We start from the raw sequence: 18449 nt of genomic DNA, 5'->3' as shown, positions 1-18449 counted from the left end.
GCTAATTACTGAGAACAGAGCGATAGGCCAAGAGGACGCAGGCCTTCCCCCATACAGCAAACAAGCACGCAGCACACAATGGGAAAGGAGCAGCAACATTCTCCAGTCTCTCCACTTCTTTATATGGGAGGAAAAACAAACACAGGTTTGCCTTAGCTTTCAGAACTTAGCTGTGTCTGCCTGTATTTGATTCAGTCCATAAAGGGCCCAAATCTCCACTCTGGTCCATTCAGTGTGGTGCCTGAATCGTGATTGCGATGGCAGAGGTCTCCGTCTAGTTCAGTGGTATGATATCTTTGGACTCTTGCTAACCTATGCAACATGTGAACTGCTGGAGAGGAAAAGCACTTTAAAACCTTGCTGAAAGATACATGAGCCCATGGGGAAACACAAAGCTCAATTACTGGTAGAATCAAAGAGACAGAGGCAGGCTGGCTTGGAAGGGGATTGCTCACTTTGTAAGCAACTGTTCTCAACTCAACCTGCCACCCTGCAATAGCAAAGAAGAGGAAGTGGAGGGGCCGGCAGCAAGACTCTGGTGAGCTGAGTCAGTAGGCAGTGAGCTGAGTCTCAATTTGGGGTAAAAACACAGTCACTTTATTGTTTCCTAATAACTGCTCCAACTATGGCATGTGAAATCTACCTCCTGACCTCCACCCCGCACCCCAGTTAGCTGGCTCTAATGGGTCTCTGAACAACTTGGCCAGGTTTTATTAATTTTTTATTCACTTTGATTCTTGGGACAGTCTCACTCTGGTATTTAGCTCAGTTTTGTTTATTTTAAAGCACAATGAAAATTCTGGCGTCTACCACCTCCGCCTGCTCAGGCTCTAGAACCTCTAGGCGCTTGCGGCAGAAGGCAAGAAGAGCAATCGCTGAGGTGGAGCCCACTCCACCCTCCTCTAGGAGCTGCTGCTTCAGTTTGGGCAGGGAGGAGGGGAATATTCATAGTCCCTTTCTCTGTTGGGGGTGGCTGCTTCCGCGTGAACCCTGCTTGGCTGCCCAGCCTTCTAATGGCAAAGTGTTCTGGTTCTTTCACCTGGCGGGCAGCCCTCTTAGGTGGGGTCCTGATAAACACTCCATCCACAGGGAGATCCCCTATCCTTGCCACGCCAAAGGGCTCTTTCTCTCCCACCCCTCTCAGCCTCACCATCTATCTTTCCGTCTCCCTTTCCGCTTTCTCCATGGCTCAGGGACAGCCAGAGAAAACATCCAGGAGTGCAGTGCCTGGTGTGTCTAGTGCCTGGTGTGTCTGGTGCCTGGTGTGTCTGGTGTCTGGTTGATTCTGCAGACTCTTCCTTTTCTTTTCTTTCTCTTTCTCTTTCTTTCTTTCTTTCTTTCTTTCTTTCTTCTTTCTTTCTTTCTTTCTTTCTTTCTTTCTTTCTTTCTTTCTTTCTCTTTCTTTCTTTCTTTCTTTCTTTCTTTCTTCCTTTCTTTCCTTTCTTCTCTCTTTCCTTCTCCTTTCTTTCTTTCTCTTTCTTTCTTTCTTTCTTTTTTTCTTCTCTCTCTCTTTCTTTTCTTTTCTTTTTTTTAGGTCTTTCTCTGCACCCAGGCTGGAGTGCAGTGGTGCAATCATAGCTCACTGCAGCCCTGCTGGGCTCAAGGAAACCTCCTGACTCAGCCTCCCAAGTACCTGGGACTGTAGGCCCAGCAAATTTTTAATTTTTATCTTTGTAGAGAAGGGATCTCCCTATGTTGCCCGGGCTGGTCTCGAACTCCTGGGCTGAAGCGATCCTCCCGCCTCGGCCTCACAAAGTGCTGGGATTACAGGTGTAAGCCACCGCTCCCGGCTTCACTTCTTTACAGGTGATTTGTTTGGAGATTCCTCTACCCCTCTTCTGTGTTGGCAGGGAGGGAAAGCCCTTGTCTCCCCTCTCCGTGGGGGTGGAAAGGCTGTGGCCTCACCACAAAAGCATGCCACTCCCAAGGCAGCTCCTTCCCTAGTATAAATCAGCTGGGTGGTGCCAGGACTGGTCCTCTTAGAAAACCTGTGGAGTGGTAAACATAAAAGATGGGGTACTTAGCCTATTTTGGCCTCAGGGTGGGGCCTTGACTGTAATTCCCAGATAAGAGGGAAAAATCCTCACACTTTGTTATACTTATTCCCCGGATAAGTCTTTGAACCTTCATGAAGCTTAGTTATTGTACACCAGCTAAGTTCCTTTTCTTTCTTTAAATAGATGCATTATAGATGTACATAGCTTTGGGGTACATGTGATAATTTAATATATTCATATAATTTGTAAAGATCCAATCTGTTGTGTACTGTTTCTTAAAGGATCTCTGCAGGTCTATGTCATATGGAAATGCTCAACTGAGTCCATTCTGTTTCATCTTAAGCAAGAAATCAAGGTTTCCCATTACAAATGAGATGCCCAAGCCCCTCACCTCCTTTTTATGGGGCTTACCGTGAATGTCTTGAACTGTTTCTTCACCATTTAGAATCACTCTTCACTGCCTTTTTAAAAATTTCTTTTTCTTCTTGCTTAGGAAGCTCGTGGTCAGATCAACACACCTCCTAGCTAAGCAGACTCCAAATGGGGAATGATGAATGATGCCCCTCTGGCTAGGTACCCCCAACTTTGATTCTCTTTGGGCCTCCCTCTTCTTCAGGGGAGGGAAGAATCCCCATTCTCAATAGGTTTTTCTTGCTCCCAATTTTCCCTTCATGTTCGCCAAGGTGAAGGGCAATTATAGTGGGGGCGCTGGATTGCCAGTCAGACTCTTCCCCCAGCCCTGCTGAGGGCCATATGTCCAGGGGCTCTCCCAACTCATGCAGCATACTCAGAAGCTGCATCTCCAGCCTTGGACTGAAACTATAATTCTGGCATAAAATCCCACTGAGCATTCTGTTACAAAAGGAAAGAACCAATTAAGAAGCCAGAAGATTGCTCCTCGTGTATCAGGTGTCAAGGTTTATAACTTATAAGTAGTCCAAAAAATTCTCTTTGGACTTTTAAAACAGAGATGCAATATGGAAAATTAAGTTCAGATTTAATGAACATTTATTGAGTACCAACTGTATGCAAGCACAGTGCTAGATGCTTTAATGCAGATTTTATCAGTCAATTTAACCCTAGATCAGCTCCATTTTTGAGACAATAATGATAGTATTTTCAGTAATAGAGTTGCTATTTATTTTGTGTCTGCCATATGCCAGGCACTATTTTCAGCACTCTACACAGTCTTATCATTTAACATTCGCAAATGCAAAATGAAGAAGATATTATTATACTTATTTTACAAAGAAACAGGCTGTGAACAATTATTTACCTAAGGGCAGTTAGGCAGTCAGTAATGCCCAGAGCTAGCATTTAATGAATGCTTACTATGCATCAGCTCCTCTTTTAAGGATGTTTGTGGATGTTAAGATCATCATTTTCTTGATGGAGAAACTGAGCCACAAAGAGCTTAAGGACCTTGGTTAGGGTTACATAGTTAGAAAATGGTCTGTCTGGCTCTGGGACTCGCAAACTTCCTTACTGTGCTGAACCTTTGTGGTAAGATCCACATTTGCATTCAGGGCTTCAAGTCAAAGCCTGATAGTCCCTTATATTGCAGTGTCTTACTGCAAAGGAATGAATCGCAAATGATAAAATTTCATTTTGTATAGGTGAATTAACACTTTATTCTATTTTGATATTGTTAAAATCAAAGGCTGTTTGTATCACCCATTCCTCAAGAGCCGTACAAATAAAGCAGTGAGGAAGGAGGATGTCTCTTTTTTTCCTCTCTCTGCCTGACATCTCTGATTCATCCCAGTGGCTTAGCTTGAGAAGGAGGCAGGGAAAAGAGGGGGAAGGAGGATGTCTCTTTTTTTCCTTTTTCTGCCTAACATCTCTGATTCATCCCAGTGGCTTAGCTTTAGGATTCTTTGCTCTCTTAACTATCTAGCTCTCACAGCCCACTTGCTTAATTCCCCCTTTTATCTGTAAGAGGTGGAAGCCTAGAAAAGATGCCAGCCATACCATAGTAAGGGAGACTATGGCCTGTACAACTGAGAAACAGGAGTGGAGCAATGAATCGTGTGGAGACTTCTGCGCACCCAAAAAGGGAAGTGATTCTTTCATTTCTCTCCATTGCTGAAATCTCCATGGACTTTCCTTTCGGCTACAGTCACTGTCTCTGAAGTGGAATCTATGTGATAATGTTTTGAGTTATTGAGAGAGAATCCAATGTGTATTTTTTTTATTAAAATAATTCACTTGTTGCCTTATGCAAGTGTATTAATCAAACATAAAGGTCTTATCAGTTTCATTTCCTAGAGATAAATAATGTTAACATTTTGATGTCTATTCTTCCAGATGTTTTCCTATTTAGAGTATAATTCATTATTTAAACTGGGATACCTGAGATAAAATGCCATAATTATGCCGGGACAACAGGCACAAACTAAGACTATTTCCAACAAACTGAGATATATAATCTCCTTACTGTGTATGAATTTTTACAGCTGTGTCTACAGAAATATCTAGATACACTCAACATGTGTTATACATGGTGATGCACAACCTCTAAGATGGGTCCCAGTGATCCCCACTCCTGGTATTCATGCCCTTGTGTCATCTGTCTCCGAGTGGAGGCTGCGTTTAGTGACTCACTACTAGAATAGAATAGGATACTATGGAAGAGATGGCACGCCACTTCAGAGATTAGGTTATGAAAAGACCATGGCTTCCATTTTGAGTGCCCTCGTTCTCTCCCTATGGGATCACTCGCTCTGGGGGAAACCAGCTGCCATGCTATGAGGCCACTCAGGCAGTCTATGGAGAGACCCTTGTGCGAAAAAACTGCAGTTCTGGTTGATAGCCAGTGAGGAACTGAGGCCACCAACAACCACGTAAGTGAACTAGGAAGCGTATCCTTTAGCTTCCGATGACCGCAGCCCCAGCAGACAGCTTGACTACACTTCATGAGAGACCTTGAGCTAGAGCCCTCCAGCTGAGATACTCCTGGCTCTCATAAACTGTGTGAGAAAGTAAGTCTTGGCTGTTTTAAGCTGCTAAGTTTGTGGTAATTTGTTATATCATAATAGATAACCCATCCACATTTATTAAATAAAAAATCAAATCACGTAATAAATTGTTTTTAACAATATCCTCTTTCCCACCCACAACGTCTATCAGTAGATACCCCACTTAGTATGTGTAGGACAAAGCAATACTGTTTTATTTTTTAAAGTAGATAAAATGTAAAATGATTTTAGAGTTGACCATAATGTTTCTCCTTTTCTTTTTTTAAATAAAAAAAATGCCTTAAAAATCCTTGGAAACATGTTTTTTGCTCCTGCAATTATCTCCACAGAGTAGCTTCTTAAAGGAAAGATTTCTGGGTCATGAGACAGCACATTTAGATTTACACTGATATTTATGAATTGTGTTCCAATTGAAGTCATCTGTTTTGTGACCAAGAGTGTATGAGAAAGCCTGTTTTTTTTTCCCGATACTGAATGTTATCAACTTTAAACAATTTTGCCAATATATAGGTGAAAAATTATAATTGTATTGATGAGTGAGACTCAGCTCTCTTTTCCTGCGAGGGGCACATTCATGTGTCTTAGCCACTTTCTTCTTGGGTGGTTCATCTTTTCTTTTTTGATACTAAGTGTTCTTTATTTGTTAAGGGAATGTAGTAGACGTTTTTGTCACATCTGTTGCAAATATTTTTCTCAATTTGTCTTATGACTGCTTACGTTTATGTTTGAATTTTTTTTCCATAACGACTTTAAAAATTATCAGGCAATCAACCTCATCAGTTTTTTCTTTTATAGCTTTTGAGCCTTCGAGTCATGAATCGTGCAGCCCAAAACATTTTCATCTGGTATTTTTATGATTTAACTTTTTGCATGTAAATTTGAGATCTATCTGTGATTTGTTTTAGTATAGTGAGGTAGAGATCCAACTTTTTCCACAAGATGTTACTGAAACAAAAACAAAAACAAAAATTCACCTCTCCCCACTAATTTGTAATGCCAAGTCCATCCATTCTAGATAATCCAATATGTGTGGGTCTATTTCAGAAGTCCCACTTTTCTTCCATAGTTGTGTCTCACTTGTTCTTTTCTAAAGCCATACCATAGCTTTATAGTACATTTTAATATATGCTGGGCCAATCACTGTTTCTTTGTCAGAATTTTCTGTGCTATTGTGTCATATTTTTCTCTCAGATACAATTAAGATTGTTTTGCAAGTTCAAATGATTCTTGTTGAGATTTTTTATTTGAATTTCACTCATTTATATGTTATTATTAAGAACTGAAACTTCTTGTTTAAGAATATTTACTTGTATATTTAATTCTTATTTTATTTTCCTAAACAGAGTATTTAGTTTTTTTAGAATTCTATCTTTTTTAAATATTTAATTTAATTTTATTTTAAGTTCTGGGCTACATGTACAGGATGTGCAGGTTTGTTACACAGGTAAACGTGTGCCATAGTGGTTTGCTGTACCTATCAACCCATCATCTAAGTTTTAAGCCCCTCAGGCATTATCTGTTTATCCCGATGGACTTTTGACTCTAAGAACAATGATTTCACCATACAGCATTGCCTGTCTGTGAGGGGAATTTTTTTTTTTTTTTTTTTTACATTAAGGGGTTTGTGAATGTGAATTTATTTGCTTGCCCTAACTACTCTTATCTCTTCTGGATTGTTCAGAGGTGTTTAGTTCCCTCATTACTTCAAGGTTTGCTGCTGCATATTCTCCTCTTGCCCTTCACTATAGGTTCTCGGTTTGAAAGGAAACACAGCTCACTGTGAGATGCTTAAATCAAAAGAATCTGGTTTCTGGAAATGTCATTATTTTAGGAGGGAGCACGGGAGGTAGAGAAGGAAAATAGTTTAGATTCTTGTGGGGAAATGGAAAGCAAGAGGAAAAATAGATGTTCTGCTCAGAAAGGAAACTTCTCTAGGTTTTAAAAATCAGTACGTGTTAATTTTGCTATATTTTCTCTAGCAGTGGGATTACTGCATGAATCTTACTGGGAGAAAGAACGGTTGCTCTAAACCAAGTCCTCTGTCAGTGAAGCACAGGTCTGTGATGGGTGGTTGGGATGGGGATGAATAAGGAGTAGGAAAAATGACAGAAATAGACGCTTCTTATTTGCAAGTGATAGAATTTACAACTCTGTTTAGCACTTTTTTTTTTTAAATTCAACGAGTCATTATTGAGTTTCTACTATGAGGACAGCTTCAAGGGAGAATATAAAGAAAGTGTAAGGCATAGTCTCTGATCTCCAGGTAATTGTAACTAGTGGGTCAGACAATTAAATGCTGGTACTTGGTAGCAGAGAGGAGTGCTGAACTTAATCTTGAGGGTGAGTGGGATTTGAATTGGCAGAGAAACAGTCATGCATATTCTGAGCCTGAGAAAAATCTGAGAAATGGTTTTTGGTTGAGAGTTAGCTGAATGGTTGGTTTGAGCAGCATTATGTGAGTGGGAGAAATGAAAGAAAACCTTGGGCGGTTAGGATGAGCTTCAGTTGGAGTTTGAGAGTTATCGTCAGCTCTGGAGTATGTAAGTAACATGGTAACTGTGATTAGGAGCATGAATCTGGGAGAAGTACGCCTGGAGCCAGGGATGTGAGTTAAGAAACAGTCATGCCGAGAGCCCAGTCTAGAGTACAAACAATGGGAATGGCATAGAATGGGCAGATCTAACAGACACAACAGAAAATCCTCCAGAATAAGGAAATGATTTTGTAAAGTTTGTGGAAGAGAAGGAAGATACACAATTCAATACTGGACAGGTTTGACACTACTTGGGTCCTCTTGCTCTATATCATGGAATGTGGACCAGAACTGAGTTTTCTTCTGCTAATTGAGCCAGTTATTCCATTTTTTTCTTTAAATTTTTCTTTAAATTGTTAGATAGGATTCTTGTTGTGTTCCTGTAGGTTTTATCAGTTATGCACTGAATTGTCTTCAAGTGATCCTCCCAGTAGATGCTCTGGTGACTGAAAAGTTAAAGCTATCACCATGATGGCATACGTTGAGGAGGAGGTTAAACACTGTGTTAGGAGGCATACTGGCTGGCTTTCTTCTCTCTGGGTTAACATATTTTGGCCTTGTGGGATAATCATGTTTGAGAGTTCTTTGATGGCTAAAAACATACCGTGAAGGGTAGTACTAGTGAGCATGGAGGAAGGAGGGGGAGAGTGCAGGGTTTCATGTAGCCATGTTGTCAGTTTCTCTGTCCTGTCCCATTTTGCAGCAGCTGTTTGTACATGTGGTGGGATTAAGCTAGCAGGAGTCTGGATGGATGGGGAAAACAGCTTCCTTGACATCCTTAATTGCCTCCTTTATCCCTCCTCAGACAAAGCAACTCACGGTTTTAAGGACCACAAAATGCTTATTCCAAATGCACCCCTTACCCTACAACAAACCCAAACATAGACACACCTACATGGAACAAATGCAACCAAAATATTTTTTAAAGAGATAGACATTTTAAAGAATGAAAATTTCTACATTTGCATTATGAGCAAATACCAGGGCATAAGTTGAACATATCTGCTGGTGTCAGGTATCTGGACACTGATTGGTCAGTCCATATGGCCTGGGGCACCTTCCTGCTGGCAACACATGCTCATGGCTCCATAGACATTCCTGGCATGTTCCAGATATAGCAGTACCTGTGTGAAAGTTAAAATCATTAGCGTAAAAATTGGTAAATTGGCTTTATGCATAAATTCATCAATATGAGTGCAATTAAGTATACGTTCCAGTGATTCTTTTTTGTTGTTGAACATCGAGGGTATCCAGCTTAGTTGTCTAGATTCACTGAAATAGGTGACATTTGTGGACAAATGTTTATCCAGGCCCTTTGGCACAGGCTAGAATCCTCTTGCTTCTCATTTTGAGTGTATTTGGCCATTATCCCATTTTCTATGCCTCATGGTTTCTGTGTGGAGATAACTCCTCCAACATTTGTTCTGTTCCTTTCCTATTTCCTTCATTGGCAAAACTCAAGTGTGTTTATTTGGTAGCTTGACTGCGCTGAGCTTTCTTGCCCTTTTATCTTACCTGTTTTTACTGTTGTTGAAAAAAAATGAACTTAAATAATACTACTGCTGCTAATGCCTAAGTGGTTGAGAAATGTGACAGTTTCCATGCAAAGGGGTTTATATGTATGAGCTTTATTAGTTCTCTCTACTAATGTATGAGGGAGGTACTATTTAATTTCTATTGTGCAGTTGCGAAAACTAAGGCTTAGAGAGGCTATGGAACATACTCAAGGTCTCATATGTAGTAGGAGATAGGGCCAGAATTCACATTTGGTATGGCCTGCCTCCATGAGCTCGGACTCTACCAGCGCATTTATAGATGATTCATATTTAAACTGTAAATTTTACAGATATGTCTCAAATTTAAAAGTTATTCCAAAATTATGGCATAAAATATCAATGTAAATTATCATCTCTGTATACCAAAGGGTTAGACCAGTAATTCACAAGAAATGAAAGTTTTTTGCTAAGCTAACTAAAAGTTCTGATTAAAACTTTTAGAAGACTTCGGCATTGAAAAGAATATGGTATACTCAGTTTAGTAAAGTTTTGCTTGTGTCCATCGGGACCACTTTAATGCTTTTAGGAATTTAAATACCAAATTATTTTTACAAATTTATTGTTTTTTTTTTTTTTTCATTTCCGTGACGCCCCTACTTGGTTGCCACACCAAATACAAACAATCTGCTTTTGCTTAATCCAGCAATGACTAATTTATATTTACCAACAAGAGCAATAGCAATTGAAAATCGTAGCCAAGTCCCCATAACACTAATGATGCACTGAAAAAACATGTCTTTTCCGACAATTGTGGGAATTTCCAAACCGTGCATGTGTCTGTGCACAAAGGAAGCATTGTTCTGTTGCCAACTGCTGCTCAGCAGCCAGGCTTCTTTGGAGAATGTTGAATGAGAATCCTTGGTAAACTCTCACATGTGGCAGTTCTGGTGTTTGAATACTGAATTTTAATAACTCTTAAAATTAACTTAGTAGATTGCTACTAGGTGGTCCTCCATCACAAATAAAAATCAAAGTCTGGGGAAAGATGTGCCATTCATTTATTAGAACCTAAGAAGTGTCTTTTGGTTTTCTTCACTTCATGTCCTATTCTAGGACCCTGGTAGGCAGTATCCTGGCCAAAGGTGATCCAGGAGAAAGAGCCAGGAGGGGAGATTTTAACAGCTGGTTAGTTTATACGTTTATTTAGAGGAGAGGGAGGGTTTTATTAATGTTAACCCTCTACCTTTGGGGCAACACACTAGAATTTATGGGGAACATCATCAGCTCATCTCAGTTGTGGTTTATGTACCCACAAAGCCTGGTAGGTTGGGTGCTTATCAGCATCAACATTTTAGAAAGGAGCACCAGAGAAAAAGTGTAGGGGACTTGCCCACTGACTAATTCCTCAATTTTGACAGTCACCTTCATCCTTTTTGACTATGGGATGAAGCCTAAATTTCCTAGCCAGCCATTTAAAGTCCTTTGCAATGGAGGTCTTGCCTACTTTATGCAATTAATCTCCTACATAAACTATTATTGTTTATTTGCTTGCTGTGTGTACTCTGCTGATTGATCGTGCCAAGTACTGGTGATTCTGTTGATGCATCATGCACAGTTTCCCAAATTTAGGATTTAATGGGCTAGAGAATTGCCAAATAAATAAAAACATGAATAGTGTTGATGATTTTGTATTACAGCAATAAGGAAATTATAAAATACCACCATTTCATTGAAGCCTTTATATGTTAACATTTTAAAAAGTAGAAAGGACATCATCTCAGAATAAAGACCACTAATTAAAATAAACTATGAAAACCTCACACATTGCCTATATTTTCCTCATTTTGCCAGAGACAATTGAAGAAATAGCTGTGGACTGGCACTGGCCTGTGGTGTTTGGGAATGATGTTGCTTAGCCTTTTGCTTGTCTGAATAAATCCTTCTAGTCCTTCGATTCTCAGTTTACACCTTGACCTTAGAAATTCTTCTATCCCCCTCTACCTGCTGTCTTGCACCCCACCCACCCTTCCAATTATCTCTCTAGGTGGCAGTCTGTGTGTCCTCTTCCAAGTACTGATAAGATGTGCTGGGATAATTTGCTGCTGTCTCTTGCCACAAGACCATGAGATTCTTATGGACAGAAACTGCATCTTATTCACCTTCATTCCCAAAGTTTAGCACGTAGTCTTTGACACACACTCAGTGCATAATAAGTAGTAGGTGAATGAATGAATGAGTGATTACCTGGATGCCCTGCCTGTTCTTTGTGTTTTGCATGTCTTCTGTGACCTGCAGTTTTGAGCACATGGGATTTATTGAAACAAACACTAATATTCATTAAATTGAATTAACTTATGGGTTTTGACCTCATCAGTTCTTCTATTTTTCTTTGCTGAAGAAAACTAATTATGTTCTCCATTATCAGAGTGTCTGGGAACAGTCTGCAGCTGCTGTCTGAAACACTTACAGGGGCTATAATGCGTGTCTCAGCTCTTCTGTTCAGCTTGTGTTTTTCTTTAGTCAATTCATTTTGGGTTGCCATGTTGATTTATCATATTTTTATTTATTTTTATGGGAAAAGGAATGTACGATATTGTAAGACATGCTATCTAGTGAGTGTAGAGAAAAGTCAGCATTTTTTGTAGTCTGATTTTTCTAAATCCACCGAGGCGTATATGCTTTGCTTTTATGTTGTTATTGTTTCTTTTTTAAAAACCACACTTGTATTTGCCTTAAACATTTTTTGAAATCAAAACAACATATCCAGAAAGCATAGATGCAGCTTCTCTTAAGATTCAGTGGTGATCTGAGCTGTCTCATTTGGGGACATATGGTCTCTAGGCAATCGAGTTACTGTATTGAGCATTTTCCCAGCTCACAAGATGACTGTGACGAGTTATTGCACTGACTCTTGCTCAGTCACAGGGGGAACCTGCCACTTTGTCTTTAGCACAGACAGGCCCCTTATAGACACAAGGTTGTGCAGCCACTAGAGACCTGGGCTTCAGCTGGGCTTGGATCTATGCCTTGAAAGAAACAGATCTTCTTTTTGAAACTCTCTTGCCTTCCTTCTCCTAGTGTTTTATTCTTTTGTTAATGAAAATAACCCATATTCATAGAGTCAGAATAACAATTATTGATGGGCACTTCCTATGTACTAGGTACTTTATACACCTTATTTATAAGCCTTTCATTTGTAATCAGCTAATTTTGTCCTTATTTTATAAATGAGAAAACTGAAGACCAGAGAGTTGTATTTGACCGATGCCATAGAGCAGTAAGTGGTAGCATCAAAGCTGTGTAATCTCCAAGCCTCTGTTTTTTCCATCACATCAGTCTGGCTTCCTTCTTTTATAACCTGGATCATAGCTGTGTCATTTTGTGCAGCTGCTTAACTCTTGTAAAGATAAATAAAAGTACCTAATTCATAGGATTGTTTTGAGAATGAAATGAAGGTAATATATATGAAAGGACATGGCATAGCATCTGTGCATAGTAAGAACGAAATATATTTTTTAAATTTCTTCTTCTTTTTCCTGTAGGCCCTCCTTTCTTCACTGATCCAGACCTACCTTTCTACTGCCAACTAAAGAATGATGAGATTCAAAAATTTGGAAAGGAGAGCTTTATTTCTCATAAAGTGTTGCAGCCTGAAAGTGGCCATTCTTCTAGGTTTGGAAGCATAGCCTCCCACCAGAAGCCAGAAACAGATACTTTGAGAGAGGGGCAAAGGGATCAAGAATTTATACTGAGCAGAGTGGCCAAATCTACATATTCAATAAGCTACAGAAAGACTCATGAATATTAATGAAAGGAGAAACATGTACATGTACAATTGAGCTTCATGCCCCTTCTTGGGTCTCATGTGCAAAAAGCAGTGGTGTTAGCATGATCTGAGGGTGGAGTGTTTGGCCCTCTGATGTCAAAAGGTGAAGCAGAGGACACAAAGACCCTTACTGTGCATTCTCCATAGACTGGCCAAAACCACTCTGTAGTCGGTGGTGTCTCATCAGGCAAAAAGGAGGGGCAGCGTCAGATGGATGTTGGACATCAGTGGTGGAGTTCTTTGAAAGGGCCGGTTTCTCTTTAGTCTTTAGGGAAGAAAAGCTAATGGTAGTTAGCGAGGGAGGAGGTCTAGCAAGGTGTGTCCAACTTCCTATCCCTCGTCATGGCCAAGAACTTAGTTTTCAAGATTATCTTGGGGTCCCCTTCGCCAGGAGAGTGTCCATTCAGTTGCTTGGGGGGCTTAGGATTTCATTTTTAGTTTACAATACTTTAGACATCTCCTGATGGTCCATCGTAGGTCTGTTCTCTTTTGTATCTCTTTTAGAGATATTAGTTTTCTTGGGATGGATATAAGGAATGTGGCTGTGACTCAATCCTTCATTATGATTAGAATAATAAATGCTGAGGATCAAGGTGTAAGCCTTGGGACAATCATATTTAGGTGATGGGAGGAAAAAGTGCTGTTTTATCAGGGGAGAGAGAAAAAGCACTTAGAGAGGAGTTGATGATATGTAGGATGTGAGACTGCCGTGGATATCAGGGAAGGGAGACTTATAAGAAGGAGAAATTTGGTCAACTGTGTCAAATGCTTCAGCGATCAGGATGAGTAATGAGGAACGGCCATTTGATTTGATTTGATCATTCAGATATCTTTAAAGACCTTTAAGAGGGCAGTTTCAGTAGAGGTAATGGACTGGAGGAAAGTAATAAGGATGGTGAAGAAATAGAGGCGGTAATTATTTTGAGATATTTGGTTTGTCAAAATCAGAGAGATTTTATCATATCTTGAAGAGATGTCATATTTGAAAGAATTTTTCTTTAATTTAGTTGAGAAATAAGTATTTTTATGGGCAAAAATTAAAGATCTAGTTAAGAAGGAGATTTTGAAGATGTCAGAGAGCAGAGATAATTGATAGGTAAGTGTGTACCGATTTTGAAGAAAGGCTGAGAATCTAATGTCAAGATCACACTGAGAAAACTGTTAATAGTATTTTTCTTTGTATGGTTATGTTCTTTTTTAACTTTTAATTTCTTCTTTGTTATCTTTTATATCTTCTAGATTTTCTATAACAAGCATCTATAACTTTCAAATTTTTAATAGCTCTTAAAAGTTAAGCAGATTTAAAATGATAAAACATGTTCATGACACTAAGAAACTATAAAAACATATAAGATGAAAATTATAACTTCCCACATGCCCTAATATTTTATTTCCATTTCTTTAAAGCAACCACCATCAAAAATTTACTTGGTAATCTGGGTGTGGTGGCACATGCCTGTAGTCCCAGTTACTCAGGAGGCTGAGGCGGGAGTATCACTTGAGCCCAGGAATTTGAGACAAGCCTGGGCAACATATTGTGACCTCTCATCTCAAAATAAATTTTTTTTTCTTGGTAGCCCTTCAGTAATTTTTTATACACGTATGTTTTAAAATCAGAAAACTGTATTGAAAACTCATTAGTAAAGAAGTTAAGCTTGAAAAGGATAATACCACCTGGCTTATGATTTTCTGATCCCTCTTGAAAGACTAATAACATGAGAAGAGAAGAATGTAAATAGGCATAAACTTGTAAGAATGAAGATAGTGGAAGAGAAGAAAATAGCAGACAAAAGACATCAACAAAATATTAGGAGGTGAAAAACAGATGGCCTAGTGATATCTGATTAGGAGAGTACAGAAATCTACAACTTCAGTACTCACAACACGGGAAGCAGTAAAAGGAAGTCAGTTCTGTTGCAAATTCAGTGCTGATGTCACTAAAACCAGGAAGATGGGCTGGAAGTGTGTCTGCTCTCCCCCTACCCACAGGTGCAAGGAGTTGCCCTTTCCCATCTGTTAGAAGACTGGAGATGAAACAGAGAGGCACTGGACTTGGGACATTAGCTGAAGACAGGAAAGGTCGTATCCTGAAGAGAGAGACCTCAGACCATCTTATCACCCGGCTGGCAGAATGTTAGCAACTAGGCTTAAACCATACCAAGATATTGGAGGGTTTCTTTCTGGGGAGATTGACTAGGCCAAGAGAAAAGACTGCTGTTATGTGGAGACTGACATTTGTGAAATGGCTGAGTCCCCGTGGATCAACCTCTGATGAAGCCCAGCGCTTGGTAATTACCACCCAAGCATAAAGATCTTTCAGTCAGCTGTGTAGTGCCTCATTCTCAAATGTAAATGGACAGCTATGGATCAGTAAATATTTCTAGAAAGCCTCTCACATAAAAAAACAGAGACCAAACAAAGCATTAGAAAAAACACAGAAAACAGACAAGCAGGAGGCAGAAGAATACAGAACAAATGATATAGTTATGATCCTTCCAAAGAAAATATACTGCTTTCACAAAGGGTAGGAATCTGTGCAAATAGAACCCTTTGAAGCCAAGAAAGACTTTTTGTTCTTAAAAAATGTGATAGTAGAAATTAAAACATCAACAAATGGATTAGCAAAATAATGTTTAGGAAATCACTCCTGAAAGGACAGAAAGGAAAAAAAGTGATAAAAATGTGAGAAGTATGGATAATAGGAGTTCCAGGGAGAGAAATATAAAAGAGAGGGCAGAAGTTATTAAAGAAACAATAAAAGGCTGTTTCCAGAGCTGAAGGACCTGTTTTCTGGTTGCAAGGGAACACCAAGTGTCCAGCACAATGAATATAAAAAGACATATCCAAGGCATATTAGTGACATTTCAGAATCCTTAAGTTAACATCTTACAAACATTTAAAGAAGAAAAATCATTATAATAAAATGGTTACTTCTAAGAATGATGTCAGATTACTGAATAGAAACACTGAAAGTCAGAAAACAATGAATAATGGCTTCAAAATCTAAGGGAAATTATTTCTAAACATTCTGGAATTTTGTTACCCAGCCAAACTAGGAAGTGGTTTCAACATCCAAAGCCTCAAAAATTGTACTTTGCTTGTACCCTTTCTCAAGAAAGAAATAGATTGTAAGCTATTCCAAAATGAGGGCATACTAAAAAAAAGAAAGAAAGAATAAGGTGTGAACCCTGAATATGTGAGACAGGTCTCAGTTAACTTAGAAAGTTGATTTTGCCAAGATTGAGGACGTGCCCATGACACAGCCTCAGGAGGTCCTGACGACATGTGCCCAAGGTGGTCAGAGCACAGCTTGGTTTTATACATTTTAGGGAGACATAAGACATCAATCAACATATGTAAGATGTAAATTGGTTCCATCCAGAAAGGCAGGAGAACTCAAGCAGGGAAGGGGCTTCCAGGTCACAGGTAGGTGAAAGACAGTGAAAAAGATATGACCTAACTGATTCCATCTTGCTTCTAACCTCCAAGCTGTCTTTGTTCATTCCTGGACTTTCGGAGGAACTTAGTTTATAGTTTAGTTTTGAAACAAAGATGATGATAGTCCTTTCCCAAAACAAACCTTCTTACTGCCTGTGGACTAGACTGCCCAAAACCACAAGATTAGAAGTTATGGTAATTTTACTAAATAATTCAAGATGTAGCTATTTTCATTAAACCAATATTAATGTCTTATTTATTAAAAATTACCCAAGCAAAGATCATTCTGTTTTGGGCTGGGTTTATAGTTAGGTAACCCCAATGCCAAATTTTGACACCTTATAGAATTTGCCAGGGATAAGTATGAGATTGCTTGGTCAATAAATGCAAACAAAAATGTATGCTAGGCTGGGCATGGTGGCTCATGCCTGTAATCCCAGCACTTTGGGAGGCCGAGGCAGGTGGGTCACCTGAGGTCAGGAGTTCGAGGACAGCCTGACCAACATGGTGAAACCCTGTCTCTACTAAAAATACAAAAATTATCTGGGCATAGTAGTGGGCGCCTGTGATCCCAGCTACTTGGGAGGCTGAGGCAGGAGAATAGCTTGAAGCCGGGAAGTGGAGGTTACAGTGAGCTGAGAGCACGCCATTGCACTCCAGCCTGGGAGACAGAGCAAAACTCCATCTCAAAAAAAAAAAAAAAAAAAGTATGCTGGAAATTCTTAAGACAATTCTAATATTACCGTACCTGTAATTTTAAAGCTAGCTTATTTATTAAAGATTCTACTTAAGTCATGTACACTTGAAAAAGCATTTGACTAGTCTATCCTTTTTTCTGATAAAATGTTTGATTTAAGCACTTTTATTTTTCTTTAAGCCCATTCATTAGAGCTCTTTTATATATTTTTAGCAGTGAAACATTGTGTACACAGCACATAAATAAAGAGATATATTAGGCATACCGATAGAAGTACATTTATAGATTCCTAAGACCTCTTCTTTTGTGTTTTTCCTATCTTAGACTTGCAAACTCTTGATAATCTGTTTCATCACTCTGGCAGTTGTCAGCTAAATAGCCCTAAATCTGCATATTGAAGGAAACAACTCTTAGTGAAAAATCAGATAGCAAAATTTACATCTCAAGGTACTGAAAGAAAAAGTCTGGTAGAGCTGGAGAGAGATTAAAGATGGATGTCAAGCACAAAATTATACAAATCTACCATAGGACTGTAAGAGGAGACCAGTTTTATTTAGATAGGGACTACTTGTCTTTTAACTGGATCTGAGCTCTGGGCAGAGCCCACATTGAATCCTGGGTCTCCAAAAAAGGAGAATTATTATGAGGCTAGACCATGTGATGCTTTTACAGTGCACTTTAAAAAAGGTTTTTTTAAACAAAGACTTTTCTGAGTGTCTAAACTACACTCTCCCTAAAAACCTGAGAGTAGCCTCTGTTGCAATAATTATTTTAGTCAATAAATCAGATAACAAAATACAAAAGCAAATAGTTTAAGAGTTGAGATGAACTGGTCTGTTTATGCTCTTGGGATTCCATAAGGAAAAACCGGTTTCTCCCCCAAAGGGAGTCTGGCACTTTCTCTGTTTTCTTTAAGGCTGTTATAAACTATTTTAGGTTCCTCATTCAGCAGAGGGTGCAAGAGAAAGAAGAGACAGAAGAAGTAAATGAAGAAAACAGAATTCAGTCAACTGAGAAGAAAAAAACTTTTGCTCAAAAAAAAAAAAAAAAAAAAAGAAAAAGAAAAAGACAAGGTCCTAGGAGAAAAAAAATGCCAACATGAAGGCCTTTTAAATACAAACACATAGACACACATGCATACATTTTTGGATGTTAGCTTGTAATTAAGCTGACTTTTAACCACTGAGCTCCTTAAAAAAAATCTTTTTAAATCTTATGACCGTAGTTCAGCTGGAACAAATTGCTGTTATTTTAGAAGTACCAAGTATCAAACCAGAAAGGGCTTGATTTAGGAAACAAACCCAGGCTATTGTGGTGGAAAAAAAGATGGCAGAACCCTTAGCTATGGAACAGCAGCGTGAGACGACAGCCATTGCTCTTTTGGTTGGCCTGACTAGCAAAAAGGTGGCCTTGTTATGTAAATAAAGCCTTTTAAGTAGTCAAAAATGAAAGTCTTTTCTGTTTTTTGCTGTTCGTTTTTCTCC

General features: G+C 39.1%; 1 protein-coding gene and 1 long non-coding RNA gene across 3 annotated transcripts in view; both read left to right on the top strand.

Annotated features, from left to right (window-relative positions):
• ST8SIA1 (ST8 alpha-N-acetyl-neuraminide alpha-2,8-sialyltransferase 1) overlaps positions 1 to 18449 on the top strand; it is a 141317-nt gene that overhangs the window by 12353 nt on the left and 110515 nt on the right. The window lies entirely within an intron of this gene.
• LOC112268093 (uncharacterized) lies at positions 6409 to 18411 on the top strand. The gene is made up of 2 exons (XR_002957409.2): positions 6409 to 7031; positions 12547 to 18411. It is a non-coding gene; the product is annotated as an uncharacterized LOC112268093 (long non-coding RNA).

The sequence above is a fragment of the Homo sapiens genome, chromosome 12 (assembly GCF_000001405.40).
Source record: "Homo sapiens chromosome 12, GRCh38.p14 Primary Assembly".
NCBI lineage: Eukaryota > Metazoa > Chordata > Mammalia > Primates > Hominidae > Homo > Homo sapiens.
The sequence above is the reverse complement of the archived record's forward strand: the minus strand, read 5'-3'. Positions and strand labels throughout refer to the sequence as shown.